The 17,696-nt window shown below is 42.1% G+C and overlaps 1 protein-coding gene across 31 annotated transcripts in view; it reads left to right on the forward strand.

Annotated features, from left to right (window-relative positions):
- Positions 1 to 17,696, forward strand: part of AZIN2 (antizyme inhibitor 2) — an 85,643-nt gene that overhangs the window by 20,450 nt on the left and 47,497 nt on the right. For 21 of the 31 annotated variants that reach the window (NR_146649.2, NM_001350399.2, NM_001376724.1 and 18 more), the window contains one exon: positions 16,300 to 16,514. The exons of 2 other annotated variants lie outside the window; for them this stretch is intronic. Coding sequence is in view for 26 of the 29 variants with exons in the window: in NM_001350399.2 (NP_001337328.1) it covers positions 16,300 to 16,514 (215 nt within the window). In the remaining 3 variants the exon portion in view is untranslated. Of the gene's footprint in view, positions 1 to 230; positions 301 to 3,123; positions 4,860 to 16,299; positions 16,515 to 17,696 lie in introns of those variants that run through there. 8 more of the 31 variants (XM_011540566.2, XM_011540563.2, XM_047443473.1 and 5 more) reach the window with 5 other exon arrangements.

Genomic DNA, 17,696 nt, shown 5'->3' on the forward strand with positions numbered 1-17,696 from the left:
TTAGAGTAATAAGCATCCTTATTATTTAACCTACATTGCCTTCCATGCAAAGTCGTCACTATCTTGACTCATGCATTATCATTCTCTGGCTTTCTTTTTCAGTATAGGTTTATCACATCTAAATCTATTCCTCGAGTGTATTTATAATTTATTATATTTGTTTTTTTGCTTTATAAAAAGGTATTTTGATGCATGTAACCTGTTTGGGCTTTTTCTCCCTCATATCACAGTCTAAGAACCACTCACCCTGCTACATGTCTCTAGAGTCCATTCATTTCATTGCCGTGTAGCGCTCTTTTGGTGAGTATGCTGCAGTTTATTTGTCCATTCTCCTCTCAAGGCATTTGGACTGTCTTTGGGTTTTTGCTACTGTGAATACTGCTGCTGTGAATTCTTGTTTCCCTCTCTCTGATGAGTGAGCAAGGAGTGGAATGGCTGGGTATAGGGCATGTGAATGTTTGGCTTCATGAGAAAATGCCAAACAATTTTCTGAAGTGTTGTACTGACAATCCCACCAGCAGTGTGTAAGAGACTCGGTGGCTCTGCATTTTCTCCAGCATGGAGTATTGCCAGACTGAAAACATTTTCCCAGTGGAATGGATGTAAAATGATATCTCATTGTGTCTTGATTTGCATTTCCCTCATCACTAGCAAAGCTGGATGTCTCTTTGTATATTTACTGGCCAAATGTGTTTCCCGGAACTTCTTCCAGGGACTTTGTAAGTTGGTGTTCCCCTTCATGTCTGAATTTCTCCACCGAGTGGTCTGTACCCACTGCCCCTGCTCACTCAGCTCCCTTAGCCCTTCCAACCTCTCCAGTCAGGTACCTGTTCCATGATGCCATGGAAGATGCTCTTGAAAGTCACTTCCACGCTGCTAGCTCTTCCATATGGCTCTTCTGTCCCAGCAGCTGGTCCTCCTCTGTTTTCATGCTCACCTCTCCTGGCTTCTGTGGCAACATCCTGGGCCTTGGCTACTCTTCTGCTGTTCTCACCTTGTCTCCTTGGCACTTCTCCTGCTCACCCTTTAAGTGCTGACTGTCTCAGGCCTCAGTCCTTGATCTTCTCTGTCTATATGCGCTTCCTAGGTAAATGCTTCCAGACTGAGGCTCTTAGTATCTTCCATACTATCATCACTCCCAAATTTCTATCTCTATCCTGGATCACACCCCTGAGCTCCAGACTTGCACATCCAACTACCCGCTTGAGATTCCTACTGGGATTTCACAGACATCTCAAGTTTAACTTGTTCAGAACTGAACTCTTGATTTCCAACCCCAAACTTCTCTCACTAAATAGCACTGCCACTAGCCAACTGCTGAAGCTAAAAAAGTTGGCATTATTCTTGATTTTTGCTTTCCCTCTCCTTCCACATGCAGTCCACCTGCAATTCTTGAGTGTAGTTCCAAAATACATTTTGGTTTCAGTGAATTCTTCCTCTGTCGCCACCCTAATGCAAGCCACCATTGCCTCCTGCTTGAGCTACTGCAGTAGCCATTAACTGGTTTTCCACCCCCATACTACTACCTGCTTACCACCCATTTTCCACGCTGCAGACAGAATGATCTTTTAAAATCCCAAAGATTATGCCCCTCCTCTGCTTAACACCATCTGTGGCTTCCCATTGCTCTCAGAATAAAACCTAGACTCCTTACCACAACGAGCAAGGCTCCTGCCATCTTCCCAGGCACCTCTGCCCTCACTCCTGTCCCTGTTTTCAGCTCCACTTACCTGCTCCAGTCCCATTCCTCTCCTTTCTGTTTTTGTAACACCTAAGTTGTTTCTGCTCTCAGGGCCTTTGCATTCGCTCGCCCAGAATGCTCTTCCACTCACCCCTGAGACAGCTGCTGTATTCTCTTTCTTATGTCTCAGCTCAGATGTCACCTTGTCAGGGAGGCCTTTCCTGACTGCCCTCTCTAAAGTAGGCTCACCTCCCCTAGTCAGATAATTTTGATACCCTGCTTATTTTCTTCACAACCCATCGTAATCTGTTAATTATCTTGTTTTTGTTTACTTGCCTATAGTCTGTCTTCTCCATTAGCAGGTAGGCTCTATGAGGGCAGCCACGTTGTCCAGTTAGTTTCCTCTGAGTTCCCAGCACCAGACACAGTGCCTGGCATATAGTAGGTGCTCACTAAATATCTGTTGAATGAATTGTGAATGGATGAATCAATCATTCAATAAACTGTGAGACCCTTGAGGGTCTCACATCTGTTCATATCTGTTTCCCTAGTACGGAACTTGGCATACAGTAGGTTCAGTATATGTTGGAATTAAATAGATCTTTTTTTTTTTTTTTGAGATGGAGTCTCACTCTGTCACCCAGGCTGGAGTGCAGTGCTACAGTCTTGGCTCACTGCAACCTCTGCCTCCCGGGTTCAAGTGATTCTGCTGCCTCAGCTTCCCGAGTAGCTGGGATTACAGGCGCCCGTCACTATGCCTGGCTAATTTCTGTATTTTTAGTAGAGACGGCATTTCACCATGTTGGTCAGGTTGGTCTTGAACTCCTGACCTCAAGTGATCTGCCCGCCTCGGCCTCCCAAAGTGCTTTGATTACAGGCATGAGCCACTGTACCCGGCCATTGTTTCTTTCATTTCTATGTCTTTGACAAGGATAAACCATTTTGTTTTTGTTTATTGTTTTATTTATTTTGATGTCAATGTCTTTTTATATCCTCTGTTCACTTAATTTGGGAGGTCTTGAAGTTTTTTCTTGCACATAGAAATGAGCTTGCATATGCATGTGTGCATGTATTTAATATGATGTTTGATACAAATATTTTTTCACTCTATTGGTTTATTGTTTTAGTTTTGTAATTCTTTGTTATTCTTTCATAGAAGTTTTGACACACTATTTTGTTTTAACTAAGTTTGCTGTAATTAATAGGAAGGAAATCTGTTACTTTCTTTTGTGCTCTGCTGTTATAGATTATCTTTATTACATATATATATATATAGTCTTATAGAAATAGAATGTTTATTAGAAAAAATTTAACACAAATAGTAAAATAAAATGATTCACTAATCCCACCATTCAGAGATGACTATTGTTAAATGTACTTTGATTTCTACTTTTTTTGGGTTTAATGGCTATTTTATTTTGTTTTATTTTATTTAACACAAGGTCACATTCTGTCACCCTGGCCAGAGTGCAGTGGCACAGTCATGCTCACTGTAGCCTCCACCTCCGAGGCTCAAGCCATCCTTCCCACTCCAGCTTCTGAATAGCTCGGACTACAGGCACATGCCACTATGCCTGGCTAATTTTTGTATTTTTTGCAGAGATGGGGTTTTGCCATGTTGCCCAGGCTGGTCTTGAGCTCCTTGTTTTGTTCAAGCAATCCTCCCACCTTGAGATTACAGACATGAGCCACCACGCCTGACCTGATAATTTTTTTTAAAAGGTTGTCTAGTCTTGCTAAGAATAAGCAAGACGTTTCGTTTACTAATGTCATGATTTAACCAGTTTTAGCTGCTCTGATATTAAAAGGTGTTTTTGTTAATATACTTCTAAAATATTGGAAATAATCAGAGCTGGGTGGGGAGAGAGAACTAAGCCCAAAATCTCTAATTTACAATGCTGTAACATTTTGAAAGACCAATCTTGTTTTTGATTTCTACTTTTTAAAAAAGTGTCATAGTGCACTTTGTTTTTCACTTTAAAGTTTTATATATTGTGAGCATATGGTTTTCTTTAAATACTGACGTGTTAGGTGGACTTTTAAATATAGAAACATTTTAAATGTTCATTGAGTGCTCTAAAATAATACATATTTAGTGTGTGTATTAGTTTGTTCTCACACTGCCAAAAAGGAATACCCAAGAATGGGTAATTTAAAAAGGAAAGAGGTTTAATTGACACAGTTCTGCATGGATAGGGAGGCCTCAGGAAACCTACATTCATGGCAGAAGGGGAAGCAGGCACATCTTACATGGCTGCAGGAGGGAGAGGTGTGAAGGGGGAACTTCCAAACACTTTTAAAACCATCAGCTCTCATGAGAACTCCCTCACTATCATAAGAATAGCATGGGCGAAACTGCCCGCCATGATCCAATCACCTCCCAACAGGCCCCTCCCTCAATATCTGGGGATTACAATTCAAGATGAGATTTGGGTGGGGACACAAAGCCAAACCATATCAGTGTGTAAAGATGCAATTCAACAAATGTGTATGAGCACTTCACAAATGCAAGATACGATTTGGTATAGGGTGGAATCAAGAGGAGGCAAGTATCATGGGAGTTTTATAAGAATCTTGGCAGGCAAAATTCAGGACAGTTACCCCAGTCCATGAAGAGAGATTCTCCTTTTATTGCCAAGATGGGGCTTTCTTACTTGCTGTTCCATTTTATTCTAGTTTGTTATGCTTTCAAAAGTGTGAATCTGTCTGGAATGTATTGCAATAGCACTTACCAAGTGTGTCCCTAGACTAAGAAGACAGAAGACTCAAATAAATAAAATTATAAATGAAAGAGGAGACATTACAGGATACCACAGAAATTCAAAGGATCATAAGAGACCACTACTAGCATGAATAACTATACACCAAGAAATTGGATAACCTAGGCAAAATGGATAAATTCCTAGACAAATATTACCTACAAAGACTCAATCATGAAGAAACAGAAAATCTGAATAGACCAATAGTGAGTTAGGAGATTGAATCAGTAATCAAAAACCTCCCAACAAAGAAAAGCCCAGGACCTTATGGCTTTACTGGTGAATTCTACCAAACATGTAAAAAAGAATTAATACCAATCCTTCTGAAATGCTTCCACAAAACTGAAGCAGAGGGAACACTTCCAAACTCATTTTACAAAACCACAATTACCTTAACACCAAAGCCAAATACACCATAAGAAAAGAAAATTACAGGCCATGTTCACAGATATGCAAAAATCCTCAACAAAATACTAGCAATCCAAATTAAATAGCACATTAAAAGGATCATACACCATGATCCTTTTAAAGTGGAATTTATCCCTGGGATGCAAAGAAATTTTAACATGTCTGAATTTATAAATGTGATGTACTATAATATTACCACAATGAAGGATAAAAATCATATGATCATCTCAGTAGATGGAGAACAAGCATTTGACAAAATTCAGCATCCTTTCATGATAAAAACTTTCAACAAATTAGGTATGGAAGGAATGTACCTCAACATGATAAGGGCCATATATGACAAGCTCACAGCTAATGTTATACTCAACAAGGATCCTAAGGTCAGGAGCAAGACTAAGATGCTCACTCTCACCACTTCTATTTAGTGTGGTACTAGAAGTCCTAGCCAGAGCAATTAGAGAAGAGGAAGAAATAAAAGTCATCCAAATGGGAAAGGGAGATGTAAAATTGTCTCTGTTTGCAGATGACATTATCTTATATATAGAAAACTCTAAGGCTTGGCGTGGTGGCTCATGCCTGTAATCCTAGCACTTTGGGAGGCCAAGGCTGGTGGATCACTTAAGGTCAGGAGTTCAAGACCACCCTGGCCAATGTGGTGAAACCCTGTCTACTAGAGATACAAAATTATCCAGGCGTAAAGATGTGTGCCTGTAATCCTAGCTACTTAGGAGGCTGAGGCATGAGAATTGCTTGAACCTGGGAGGCAGAGGTTGTAGTGAGCCGAGATCATGCCACTGCACTCTAGCCTGGGCAACAGAGTGAGACTCCATCTCACACACACACACAAAGGCCGGCGCAGTGGCTCATGCCTGTAACCCCAGCACTTTGGGAGGCCGAGGCAGGCAGATCACTTAAGGTCAGGAGTTCGAGACCAGCCTGGACAATATGGTGAAGCCCTGTCTCTACTAAAAATGCAGAAATTAGCTGGGCACGGTGATGGGTGCTTGTAATCCCAGCTACTCAGGAGGCTGAGGCACAAGAATCATTTGAGCCTGGGAGGTGGAGGCTGCAGTGAACTGAGATGGCGCCACTGCACTCCAGCCTGGCGACAGAGCCAGACTCCATCTCAAAAACAAAACAAAACAAACAAACAAAAAAACTCTAAAGACTTCACCAAAAAACTATTAGACTTAATAAGTTCAGAAAATTAGAAGATACAAAGTTAACATACAATGTTTCTATATGCTAACTATCTGAAAAAGAAATCAAGAAAACTATCCCATTTATAATTGCATCAAAAAATTACTTAGGAAATTTAAGGAGGTAAGAGATGTGTACGCTGAAAACTAGAAAACATTGATGAAGGAGATAAAAAAGGACATAAATAAATGGAAAGATACCCCATGTTTGTGAATTGGAAGAATTAATACTGTTAAAATGTCCATACTACCCAAAGCGATCCATAGATTCAATGCAGTCCCTATCAAAATTCCAATGATCTTTTCCCCAGAAGTATAAAAAAATCCTAAGATTTGTATAAAACCACAAAACATCCTAAATAGCCAAAGTATCTTGGGCAAAAAGAAGAAAGCTGGAGGCATCACATTATCTGATTTCAAAATATATACTAGAAAGCTATAAAGTAAGCAAAACTGCATGGTACTGGCATAAAAACGAACATATAGACCAGTGGAATAGAATAGAGAGCCCAGAAATAAATCCATGCATTTACGGTCAATTGATCTTCAACAAACGTACCAAGGACACACAATGGGAAAGGACAGTCTCTTCCATAAATGGTGTTAGGAAAACTAGATATCCACATATAGAAGAATAAAATTGGATGCTATCTCACACCATATACAAAATGGATTAAAGACTTTCAGATTGACTTTTTTTTTTTTTTTTTTGAGACAGAGTCTCACTCTGTTGCCCAGGCTGGAGTGCAGTGGTGTGATCTTGGCTCACTGCAGTCTCTGCCTCCTGGGTTCAAGTGATTCTGCTGCCTCAGCCTCCCGAGTAGCTGGGATTACAGACATGTGCCATCATGCCCCGCTACTTTTTGTATTTTTAGTAGAGATGGGGTTTCACCATGTTGGCCAAGCTGGTCTTGAACACCTGAACTCAAGTGATTCGCCCACCTTGGCCTCCCAGAGTGCTGGGATTACAGGCATGAACCACCGTGGCCCAGATTGACTTCTTTCACTTAGTAATATGCACTTAAGTTTCCTTCATTCCTTTCATGGCTTGATAGCTCATTTCTTTTTAGCACTGAATAATATTCCATTATCTGGGTATACAGCAGTTTATCCATTCACCTACTGAAGGACATCTTGGTTGCTTCCAAGTTTTGGCAATTATGAATAAAGCTATTATAAACATCTATGTGTAAGTTTTTGTGTGACAAGCAATTTTTAACTCCTTTGGGTAAATACTAAGGAGTACAATTGCTGGATCATATGGTAAGAATATGTTTAGTTTTGTAGAAAATTGCCAAACGGTATTTCAAAGCGGCTGTACCATTTTGCATTCCCACCAGCAATGAATGGGAGTTCTTGTTGCTCCACATCCACACCAGCATTTGGTGTTACCAGTGTTCTGAATTTTGGCCATTTGAGTAAGTGTTCAGTGGTATTTGTTGTTTTAATTTATATTTCCCTGATGACATATGTTTATTTGCCATCTGTATATATTCTTTGGCGAAGTATCTGTTAAAGTCCTTTGACCATTTTAAACAGAGTTTTACTTGTTTGTTTTCTCATTTTTGAGTTTTAAGAGTTCTTCATATATTTTGGATAACAGTCCTTTATCAGATGTGTCTTTTGCAACTATTTTCTCCCAGTCTGTGGCTTGTCTTCTCTTAACATTTTCTTTTTCTTTTTTTTTTTTTTTAAGTTAGAGTCTTGCTCTGTCACCCAGGCTGGATGGAGTGCAGTGGTGAGATCTTGGCTCACTGCAACCTTCGCCTCCCAGGCTCAAGCGATTCTCCTGCCGCAGCCTCTTGAATGGCTGGGATTACAGGTGTGCACTACCAAGCCTGGCTAGTTTTTGTATTTTTAGTAGAGACGGGGTTTCACCATGTTGTCCAGGCTGGTCTCGAACTCCTGGCCTCAAGTGATCTGCCTGCCTCGACCTCCCAAAGTGCTGGGATTACAGGTGTGAGTCACCACGCCTGGTGAATATTGTCTTTTGCAGTGCAGAAATTTTTAATTTTAATAAAGTCCAGTTTATCAATTATTTCTTTTATGGATTGTGCCTTAGGTGTTGTGTGTTCTATTCTTTTTTTTTTCTGTAGTGCTTATTACCTTCTAACATACTATATAATTTACTTGTTTGCCTCCCCCCTGCTAAACTGTAAACCCCAAGAGGACAAGGACCTTTGTGTATTTTGTTTATTAGTGTGTCCCAAGCATACAAAACAGTGATTATCCAAATATGTATTAAATGGCAACCTAATTCTGAAACTGGATTTTTGTTTTGGAGTGTATGCTGAATCATGGTAGCATTGACCTTCAGTTTTGATATCTGTGTGGGTTCCTAGGGCCTAGTCAAGATGGAGAATCCAATAGGATGCCCTTACATAGAGCTGAGAACCCAAAAGAAGTACATCCTTAGTGTAAGAGTCAACTAGAGAAAAAAGCCCATTCTACAGAGAATGGCAGCAAGAAAACTTCACTGTTTTGATCTTGGTAGTGATTGGAAGAGAGAAAAAAATTGAGATTTTGTAACCACAAGCCAGCCTTCTTTTGGGCTTATGGCCCAAATTCACATTAACTATGGTCTGAAAAACCTTAAGCCTCAAAATAATTTCATCTAGCAGAAGCAAACAAATTCTCTCTGGAGGAGGAATCTTCAGTTTAGGCTTCTCACTGATAAGGTTTCAAAGTACATGAGCTCACAGTCAAAAATCACAACATACAAAGAAACAAGTCATCGTGAGGAAGAACCGCAAAAGCAATAGGTAGCAGATCAGACCTGCGTTTACTTCATATATTGGAATTATCAGGTGCTAACATTCTTTTACAATGTTTGAAGAAATAAGAAATTGAAAATATGACCAAAGAATAAGTGAATATAAAAATATGTTGTAGCAGATTTTAAAAAGGATTAAATAGAACTAGAAATGAAAAATATGAAAATTGAAATTATGGCCAGGGTAAGCAGCATATTAGAGACAACAGAAGAGAGAATGAGAGAATGGGAAGATAGAGTTGAAGAAAGTATCCAAATGTAGCACAGAGACAAAAAGATATAAAATAGGAAAGGCTAAGGAAATGGTGCATAGAGTCAGAAGGCATAATGTCCAATCATAGTTTCAGGAAGAGACTGTATCAGGATACAAATGTCACACTAGTAATTTGAACAGGGAAATTTTAACATAAAGAATGGTTAACTGTAAAGGTGGTTCATTACAATTACTAAAAGGGGTAAAATCAGCTACCACCCCTGGTCCTGAGGGAGAGTGAAGAAGGCAGGAACTTAGAAACACAGAGGAGGAGGGCTCCTCCCTCCAAGGCTGATATTGAAACCTTTGAGGAGAGGCTGCAGTGTCACAGAAACAGCAGTCCACCAGTGGCAAACTTGTCAGAGGGTGACTACTGCAACAATCCATGCAGCACAGAAGCAGCCTGCTGCTGAGTGGGGGAGAATCTTGCTGGAAGGTGCAGGCCAGGGCTGAACTGTGAAGGCCACTAAGGCGAATGCTACCATGTACTTGCTGGGTAACCTTAGGCAAGTTACTTAATCTCTCTGAGTCTTACTTCTCTAGCTTGGAAAATGAGGGGGCTGAACTTTAATTACTAATGTTGCTTCTTTTTTTGAAGTGAGGCCATTCCAGTGTATCTTCACAAAGTTAGAGTTGGTTCCTTATTGAAATGGTCTGTCTTCATTGTGGGGTTTTGTTTTGATTTTTCTGTAGTTTTGATCAAGAATAGATGGTACAGCTATTGAATGCCACGTTGAGATGTTAAAATGTAAATGTATAGAGTAACCACTACAAGAATAGAAATAAGATAATATAACTTCTAACACAGAAAGTAATTAAAATAGTTTAGTTTTGATCCCAGCATAAGAAATAGACCAGCTGAGGCAAACTGGGGGGAATATTGAAACACATATATAATTGATAAGAGATTAGTAGACAAAATATATGAATAATTTTTTTTTTTTTTTCCTGAGACGGAGTCTTTTTCTGTCGCCCAGGCTGGAGTGCAGTGGCTCGGCTCACTGCAACCTCTGCCTCCCAGGTCCAAGCAATTCTCCCACCTCAGCCTCCCAGGTAGCTGGGTTTACAGGCACACGCCACCGTGCCTGGCTAATTTTTGTATTTTTTTTAGTAGAGGTGGGGTTTCACCATGTTGGCCAGGCTGGTCTTGAACTCCTGACCTTGTGATCCACCCACCTCGGCCTCCCAAAGTGCTGGGATTACAGGCGTGAACCACGGCGCCCGGCCTGAAGAATTCTTAAGTAAGGAATAGAGACAAACAAGAATCTCAAGAAAATAAGGAAAAAAGCAACCCAATAGAAATACAGGCAAGAGACTTTACCGGGCAATTCACAGAAGATAAACTGAAAAGGTGCTCAGTGGTAATCAAGGAAATGCAAATAAAAGTGAAAACGAGATACCATTTCATAACAACTAGATTAGAAAAACATTAAAAGCATGATAATGCCAACTGTTGGTGAGGATATGGTGTAGTTGGGTCCTTAGGCACTGCTAGGTGGCAGTGGTGTATCACTACTTTGGGAAACAAGTAGGCATTATTCAGATAAATTTGCACATATGTATGTCCTACATTACAGCAAGTTCCTAGGCCTATATTGTAAAGAAACTCTTGGCATGTGTGTTCGAGGAGATATATCAGAACATATATATCTTTATAATATAAAACATTGGAAATGACCTTAATGTTTATTGGCAGGGTAGCAGAAACATAAATTATGGTGTATTCTGTACAGTGAATTCTATACAGTGTATTGTGAACTTGTAGAGATTACATACTCTATAATTTATATAAATCTCAAAAGTGTGCAAAACTAAACAATACATTGTTTAGGGTTAGGTACACTCATGGAAAACAAAGTAAGAAAATGATGAACATGAAAGTGAGGATGGTGGTTACCTCTAAAGAGGTTAGGAAAGAGGAGATGTCATTGGAGTGGGCACATAGGGAGTTTCAAAGATACTGGAAATTTTATCTTTCTTCAGTTGGGTGGTAAGTACACAGATATTCATTTTATTGTCATTCGTTATATCTTAGACATGATACAAATATTCTTTTGTATAAATTATTTAACAAAAACTGAGTTTGTCATTTGCTTTATTATTATTCTTTGATAGGCTCACATTTATTCTTTTATCACATTATTTCTAATGTTTAGAAAAACATCCTGGGGATTTTAATTAGTAATAGTTTATTTAATCTAGTTATTAAATTAGGGAGAATTCTCTTTTTTGCTTTACTAAGTTTTTCTAGCTAGGACAGTGTAAACTTCATATCTTTTATTTCTTCCATGAAGGTTTTATTTATTTATTTTTTTTGAGACGGCGTCTCGCTCTGTTGCCCAGGCTGGAGTGCAGTGGTGCAATATCAGCTCACTGCAACCTCCACCTCCCAGGCTCAAGCGATTCTCTTGGGAGGCCTCAGCCTCCCAAATACCTGGGACTACAGGCGCCCGCCACCATGCCTGGAGAGATGGGGTAGAGATGGGGTTTCACCGTGTTAACCAGGATGGTCTCGACCTCCTGACCTCATGATCTGCCTACCTCTGCCTCCCAAAGTGTTGGGATTCCAGGCGTGAGCCACCGCGCCCAGCTGGTTTTATTATTTTTTTATTGTTTTATTTGAATAAGTATTACTGTGGCCCAAGTACATCCAAGAATGTAATAGCTTAATGCTTTCACTACTATTGTGAGTGAAAACTTTTCCCTGTGTTTTTGAGCTGAGATGCTGGCTTGCATTCTAAAATTCATTGATTTCCTCTAGTAACCACACCCACCCCCTTAAGATTTTCCAGGTGGGCAAATACGTTATCTGCAGTGTAATATTTTATTTCTTCATCTTCTATGTATTATGCTTTTTTGTTTCTTTTTTTCTGATAGCTATTGCTAGCATTTCTCATCATATATAAAATGGGAATGATGACAGAAAGCTTCAGACTTGGAATCAGAAGACATGGGTTTGAGACCTGGCTCTGCCATAGACCAGCTGAGTAACCTTAGGCAAAGCAAGCTACTTAATCTCTCTGAGCCTTGTTTCTCTAGTTTCTCCATTTGGAAAATGACAGGGCTGAACTTCAGTGTATCTCAATGAAGTCAGAGTTGGATCATTATTTAAAATAGTCTCTCTTCATTGTGGGGTTTTGTTTTGTCTGTAGTTTTAATAAAGAATAGATGCTACGGGCTACTTCATGGTATGTTGACATGTATTGGGAAAATTAAACTTGAACTGTAGATCTATATTTTCCATGTTATGAAGCCAGTGATTGACTTCTCTCCTGTTGTCTGCACCTTTCATTTTAGAGATAATATGACTGTGAATTTGGTTAGCTAAGATTTCATGTCAGGTTTTTGCCTATATATTCACAAGTGAGATTTTGGCCATAGGGTTTTTTTTTCTTTTTATCTCATTTTTGTCTTTTAAAATATTTTTGTACGAATTATTGATTTATTCTTTTCTTTTTTTTTTTGAGATGGAGTCCTGCTCTGTCACCCAGGCTGGAGTGCAGTGGTGCGATCTCAGCTCACTGAAACCTCCGTCCGGGTTCAAATGATTCGCCTGTGTCAGCCTCCTGAGTAGCTGAGATTACAGGCGCCTGCCACCATGCCTGGCTAATTTTTTTGTATTTTTAGTAGAGACAGGGCTTTACCATGTTGGCCAGACTGGATGATTTTTTTTTCTTTTCTTTTTTTTTTTTTTTTGAGATGGAGTCCCGCTCTGTCGCCCAGGCTGGAGTGCAGTGGCGCAATCTCGGCTCACTGCAAGCTCCACCTTCCGGGTTCACGCCATTCTCCTGCCTCAGCCTCCCAAGTAGCTGGGACTACAGGCGCCCGCCACCATGCCCGGCTAATTTTTTGTATTTTTAGTAGAGACGGGGTTTCACCGTGTTAGCCAGGATGGTCTCGATTTCCTGACCTCGTGATCCACCCACCTCAGCCTCCCAAAGTGCTGAGATTACAGGCATGAGCCACCGCGACCCGCCTTTTTTTTTTTTTTTTTTTTTGAGATGGAGTTTTGCTCTTGTCACCCAGGCTGGAGTGCAATGGCTGGATCTTGGCTCACTGCAACCTCTGCCTCCTAGGTTCAAGCGATTCTTCTGCCTCAGCCTCCTGAGTAGCTGGGATTACACGCCCAGCTAATTTTTGTATTTTTAGTAGCGACAGGGTTTTGCCATGTTGGCCAGGCTGGCCTCAAACTCCTGACCTCAAGTGATGCGCCCGTGTCCGCCTCCTAAAGTGCTGGGATTACAGGCGTGAGCCACCGCGCCCAGCCTATTGATTTATTCTTTAAAAGTTGAAGAATTATTTAGGGATTCCATCAAGGCCGTGCACCTTTTTCAATGTTTGACCTTGTTTTTTCTGTGGCTCTGTCAGACATATGTGCCTTTGAAGAAGGCAGCTAGGTGCAGCCAGGAGGCTCCTTGTCTGGGACTGCCCAGAGTTCTACTAACTCCCCCTAGAGCCTTGGGCAGGTCACCTTCCCTCTCTGAGTTTTCTCATCTGTAAAATGGGAATGCAATCATGCCACCTGCCTCCCAGATAAGGTATGAAGTGGTGGTGGTATGCTTTGTAAATGAGGAACCCCCTGCCCTCTCTCACAGAGGGGCCTAGTGGCTGGCAGACTGGGCATCTTGGATTTTTGCAGATGCTTGTCCATTTCCACTCAGACTTGTAAAAATAGCTGAGATTTACAAGCTTGTTGCCACAGCTTTTAGAATATTTATTTCACAGATTCCTTAAAAAAAAAAAAATAGGCTGGGTGCAGTGGCTCACACCTGCAATCTCAGTACTTTGGAAGGCCGAGGTGGCGGATCACCTGAGGTCAGGAGTTTGAGACCAGCCTGGCCAACATGGCAAAATCCTGTATCTACTAAAACTACAAAAATTAGCCAGGTGTGGTGGCCGGCACCTGTAATCTCAGCTACTCGGGAGGCTGAGACAGGAGAATCGCTGAACCCAGGAGGCAGAGGTTGCAGTGGGCTGAGATCACACCACTACACTCCAGCCTCGATGACAGAGTGAGACTCTGTCTCAAAAAAAAGTTAAATAGATACATAAATAGTAAAAGCGTAGCTTTGCATTATGTCATGTGAAGATTTAAAATCTTTTTTCACCTAATTTTTTAAAATTTACACCACTAATAACAAGTGAGGGAATGCTAACTTCTTATAATCCAAGGGTGCCTTTTCTCTTTACCATGGAAGAATCTTTAAAATTTATTTTCCCAAAGATCCTTGTAGATTCATTTATAGAGCATCCCCTCCACTCATCTTTAAACATTAGCTTAATGTTTTTCAATGAGTGGGGCTAAGGGAAATAATTCAGACCACTTGAGGTTAATTTTATTCATCAACAAAAAGTTTATAAACAAGAATGTTCAGTTATATGAACAAGGATATACAGTATTCCTTTGTCTCCCCTTCTTAGAATGGGAGCTTCATGACCACAGGAATTTTATTTTGTGTGTGTGTTTACTGCTGCATCTCCAGCTCCTAGATCACAGCCTGGCAATTAGTAGGTGCTCAATAAGTACTTGTTGAATGAATGAATTCCTGAAGATTGGATAGCTATCATTCTTAACTTACATAATGTACATATTTTTCTTTATTAATGGGACTAATAGCTTATTAACTTTTTATCAAATATATGAGCACTATTTCTGCTTATGGAAACTGCGACTTTTCTTTCTCAATTTTACTCATTCCTGCTCTGGCTAAGGTATTGAAACGCCTTTCCTTTTTTCTCTGCTGGTCTTCTCTGTTGCTTCCATCTATGCCCTTTGGATGGCTTCCATTCATATCCTTTTTCTCCCCTTTGTCATTCTTTCTCTTTCTCATCACTCATATATTCCCCATTCTTTAATTCATTTATTTAAAAATATTATTTGAATAAGCACCTAATGGATGCCAGCCTGCTAGGCATTGAGGAGATGGGGATGACAAGACCTACACATCCCCTGGGCTCATGGAATTTATAGTCTTCAGGGAAGACAGGCCTGAGCAGATATTTCACAAATATTTATGAATTATGGTAAATACTACGAAAGCAAAGCTTGAGGGAGCATGGAGCTTTAGGAAAGGCTTCCCTGAAGCCATTTTAGCTGAGATCTAAAGGAGAAATAGGAATTTGCAAATTTGGGGCCTCAGGGAATAGCATGGGGGAAAGTAGGAGGTATGGGAAGGGAAGTAGGGTTTACCTGGGGAGCCCAGAGCAACTGGAGTAACTGGAGCACAGCAAGTGCAGTGATGGGAGAAGAGGCCTCTCAGAGGGCACAGTCATCATCATCCACATTTCAGTGGTGACTCTAGGATCTGCCTGGCAAGATCCCTGCCTACACTGTGGCAAATGGCACTGATAACTTGGTTGTCCAGAGTCTGTTACAAATTTCTGGATTTGGAAATCATTTAAGAAAAAATCTTAAATTTTATGTCATTGGTAGTTGTGTCTTTGGGCAAGTCATTTAAGCTGTCAGAGCCTCCATTTTTCTGAAATGGGAGTAATTGTGTCTACTCTGTGGGGTCCTCTGTGACCTCTGCCAGGTCCCCCTGTGATTGTTGTTGGAAGTCCATCTTTCTCATTAGACTGAGGGCCTGAGGGAGGGTGAGTCTAGCCTGGTATACTGCTGGCTCCTGTTGTGGGGCCTGGCATGGAGTGAGGACATCTGGGAGGGCTTCATAGACGAGGGAGCCCCAGGGCTGGGCTCAGAAGACAGGCTAGATTTGAGGGTCGGGGAAGGGCTGTAGAGGTGTGGACATATCGACGTCTGGAAAGAGGCCAGTGAAGACCAAAGTGCAGAGGTGGTAACAACAGCAATCACAACAATAAGTTACAATTGTGCTGACTTTCTGTGCACCCTCGCCGTGTGCCGCCACTGTTCTACATGCTCTCCATACACTAACTCATTTATCCTTGCAGTAACCTTACGAGGTAGGTACTGTTGTTATCCCCATTTTACAAATGAGCAAACTGAGACATGGAGAGATTAAGCATTTTGCCCAAGGTCACACAGCTAACAACTGCTGGAACCTGGATTTAAGGCCAGGCATTCGTGACTTCAGAGTGTAAGAGGCAACGAATGCAGAGAAGTGGGAAGGGCCTTAAATGCTAAGCTAGGAGGCCCATCTAGACTTTATCCTGTTGGCTATGGGAGCCATAGAAGGCTTTTGAGGGAGGGAGTGGCAAGGCTGTTGTATGCCCAGGAGAGCTGGCATGGCCATCCCTTCTTCCTACAGAAACCATCCACGGAGCAGCCCCTGTACAGCAGCAGCCTGTGGGGCCCGGCGGTTGATGGCTGTGATTGCGTGGCTGAGGGCCTGTGGCTGCCGCAACTACACGTAGGGGACTGGCTGGTCTTTGACAACATGGGCGCCTACACTGTGGGCATGGGTTCCCCCTTTTGGGGGACCCAGGCCTGCCACATCACCTATGCCATGTCCCGGGTGGCCTGGTAAGAGGGCCCTGCTGGAAAATGGGGGTATGGGGAGGAACTGGGCAGAAACGAGGGAAACTTGAGATTTGAGATTCTGCTTCTGTGTAATCCAACTTGACAAGTAGCTGTTGGCTGCTGGTCCCACGTGAGGGATGTGCTTGGCACCTGGCTGTGGCCATAAGTGAGGCTGGGCTTTCCTAGAGGAGCTCACAGCCCTGAGGGAGGCACAGAGAAGCAGACAGGCCCTTGTGATAATACTGTGCCTGGTGGAAGTGCAGAGCCCTCCCTGAGGCCCAGGCCTCCCTGAGGAAGTGGGAGTCAACTACAGGAGTGGGTGGTAGGACTTCCCAGAAGAAAGGAACGGAGAGCAAGTGTGGTGCATTCAAGGCTCGCATGGAGAGTGGCTGTGACTGCAGAGGGAGGCAGGGCTAGATCTGGGAAGGGCTTGAAGGCCGAGTGACACGCTTTGACAGCAGTGGGAGGCATGGACCAGTTTGAAGCAGGGGCATAACACAGTCTGATTTGCACTTTGGAAAGACCACCCTAGTTCCTGTATAGACTGAGGACAAGGGCAGATGCAGAAAGAGATGACCAGTTAGGTGGCTGCTGTGTGACACAGGAGAGACTTGGTCTGCCTGCTTGCTGAGCCTTGGTCTTTCCATCTAGAAAATAAGCGTAACAGTAGCCCTGCCTGCCCCACCAGGCTAGTGCTGGGATCCAGTGAGGCAAGAGGCATGCAAGATGGGGGAGTCACATCCAGTGAACCCTGACATCAGGCCTTACGTTAGGTGTCGTATGACTATTTCACCCACACAACACTCTGTGGGGGTCAGCGTTATCACAGAGAGGTCATTCTTCTGAGGTCACGCAGCTAGTCAGTGGTGAAGGGTCCCTCTTTTGGGGTAGGGAGAGGGCCACAGAAAGCAGGAGCAGTTTGCCCAGGCACATTCAATTCCTCTGCTGTGTCCAGTCTCAGGACTGTCACCAAAGCTGAGACCTGAAGGCTAAGGAGGAATTAGATGAGAGTTGATGATACAGGCAGAGAGACAAGGATGGATCCAGGCTGGGGAGAGGACATGTGTAAGAGCCCAAAAGGTGGCCATAGTGGATGGCTCAGGTGTGTGGGCCAGTGTGTCCAGGAGTGGGTGGAAGAGGCGGGTAGAGCCAGATCTTGCAGGGCCTGAGAGCAGAGGGAAATGG

This window comes from Homo sapiens, chromosome 1 (assembly GCF_000001405.40).
Source record: "Homo sapiens chromosome 1, GRCh38.p14 Primary Assembly".
Classification (NCBI taxonomy): Eukaryota; Metazoa; Chordata; class Mammalia; order Primates; family Hominidae; genus Homo; species Homo sapiens.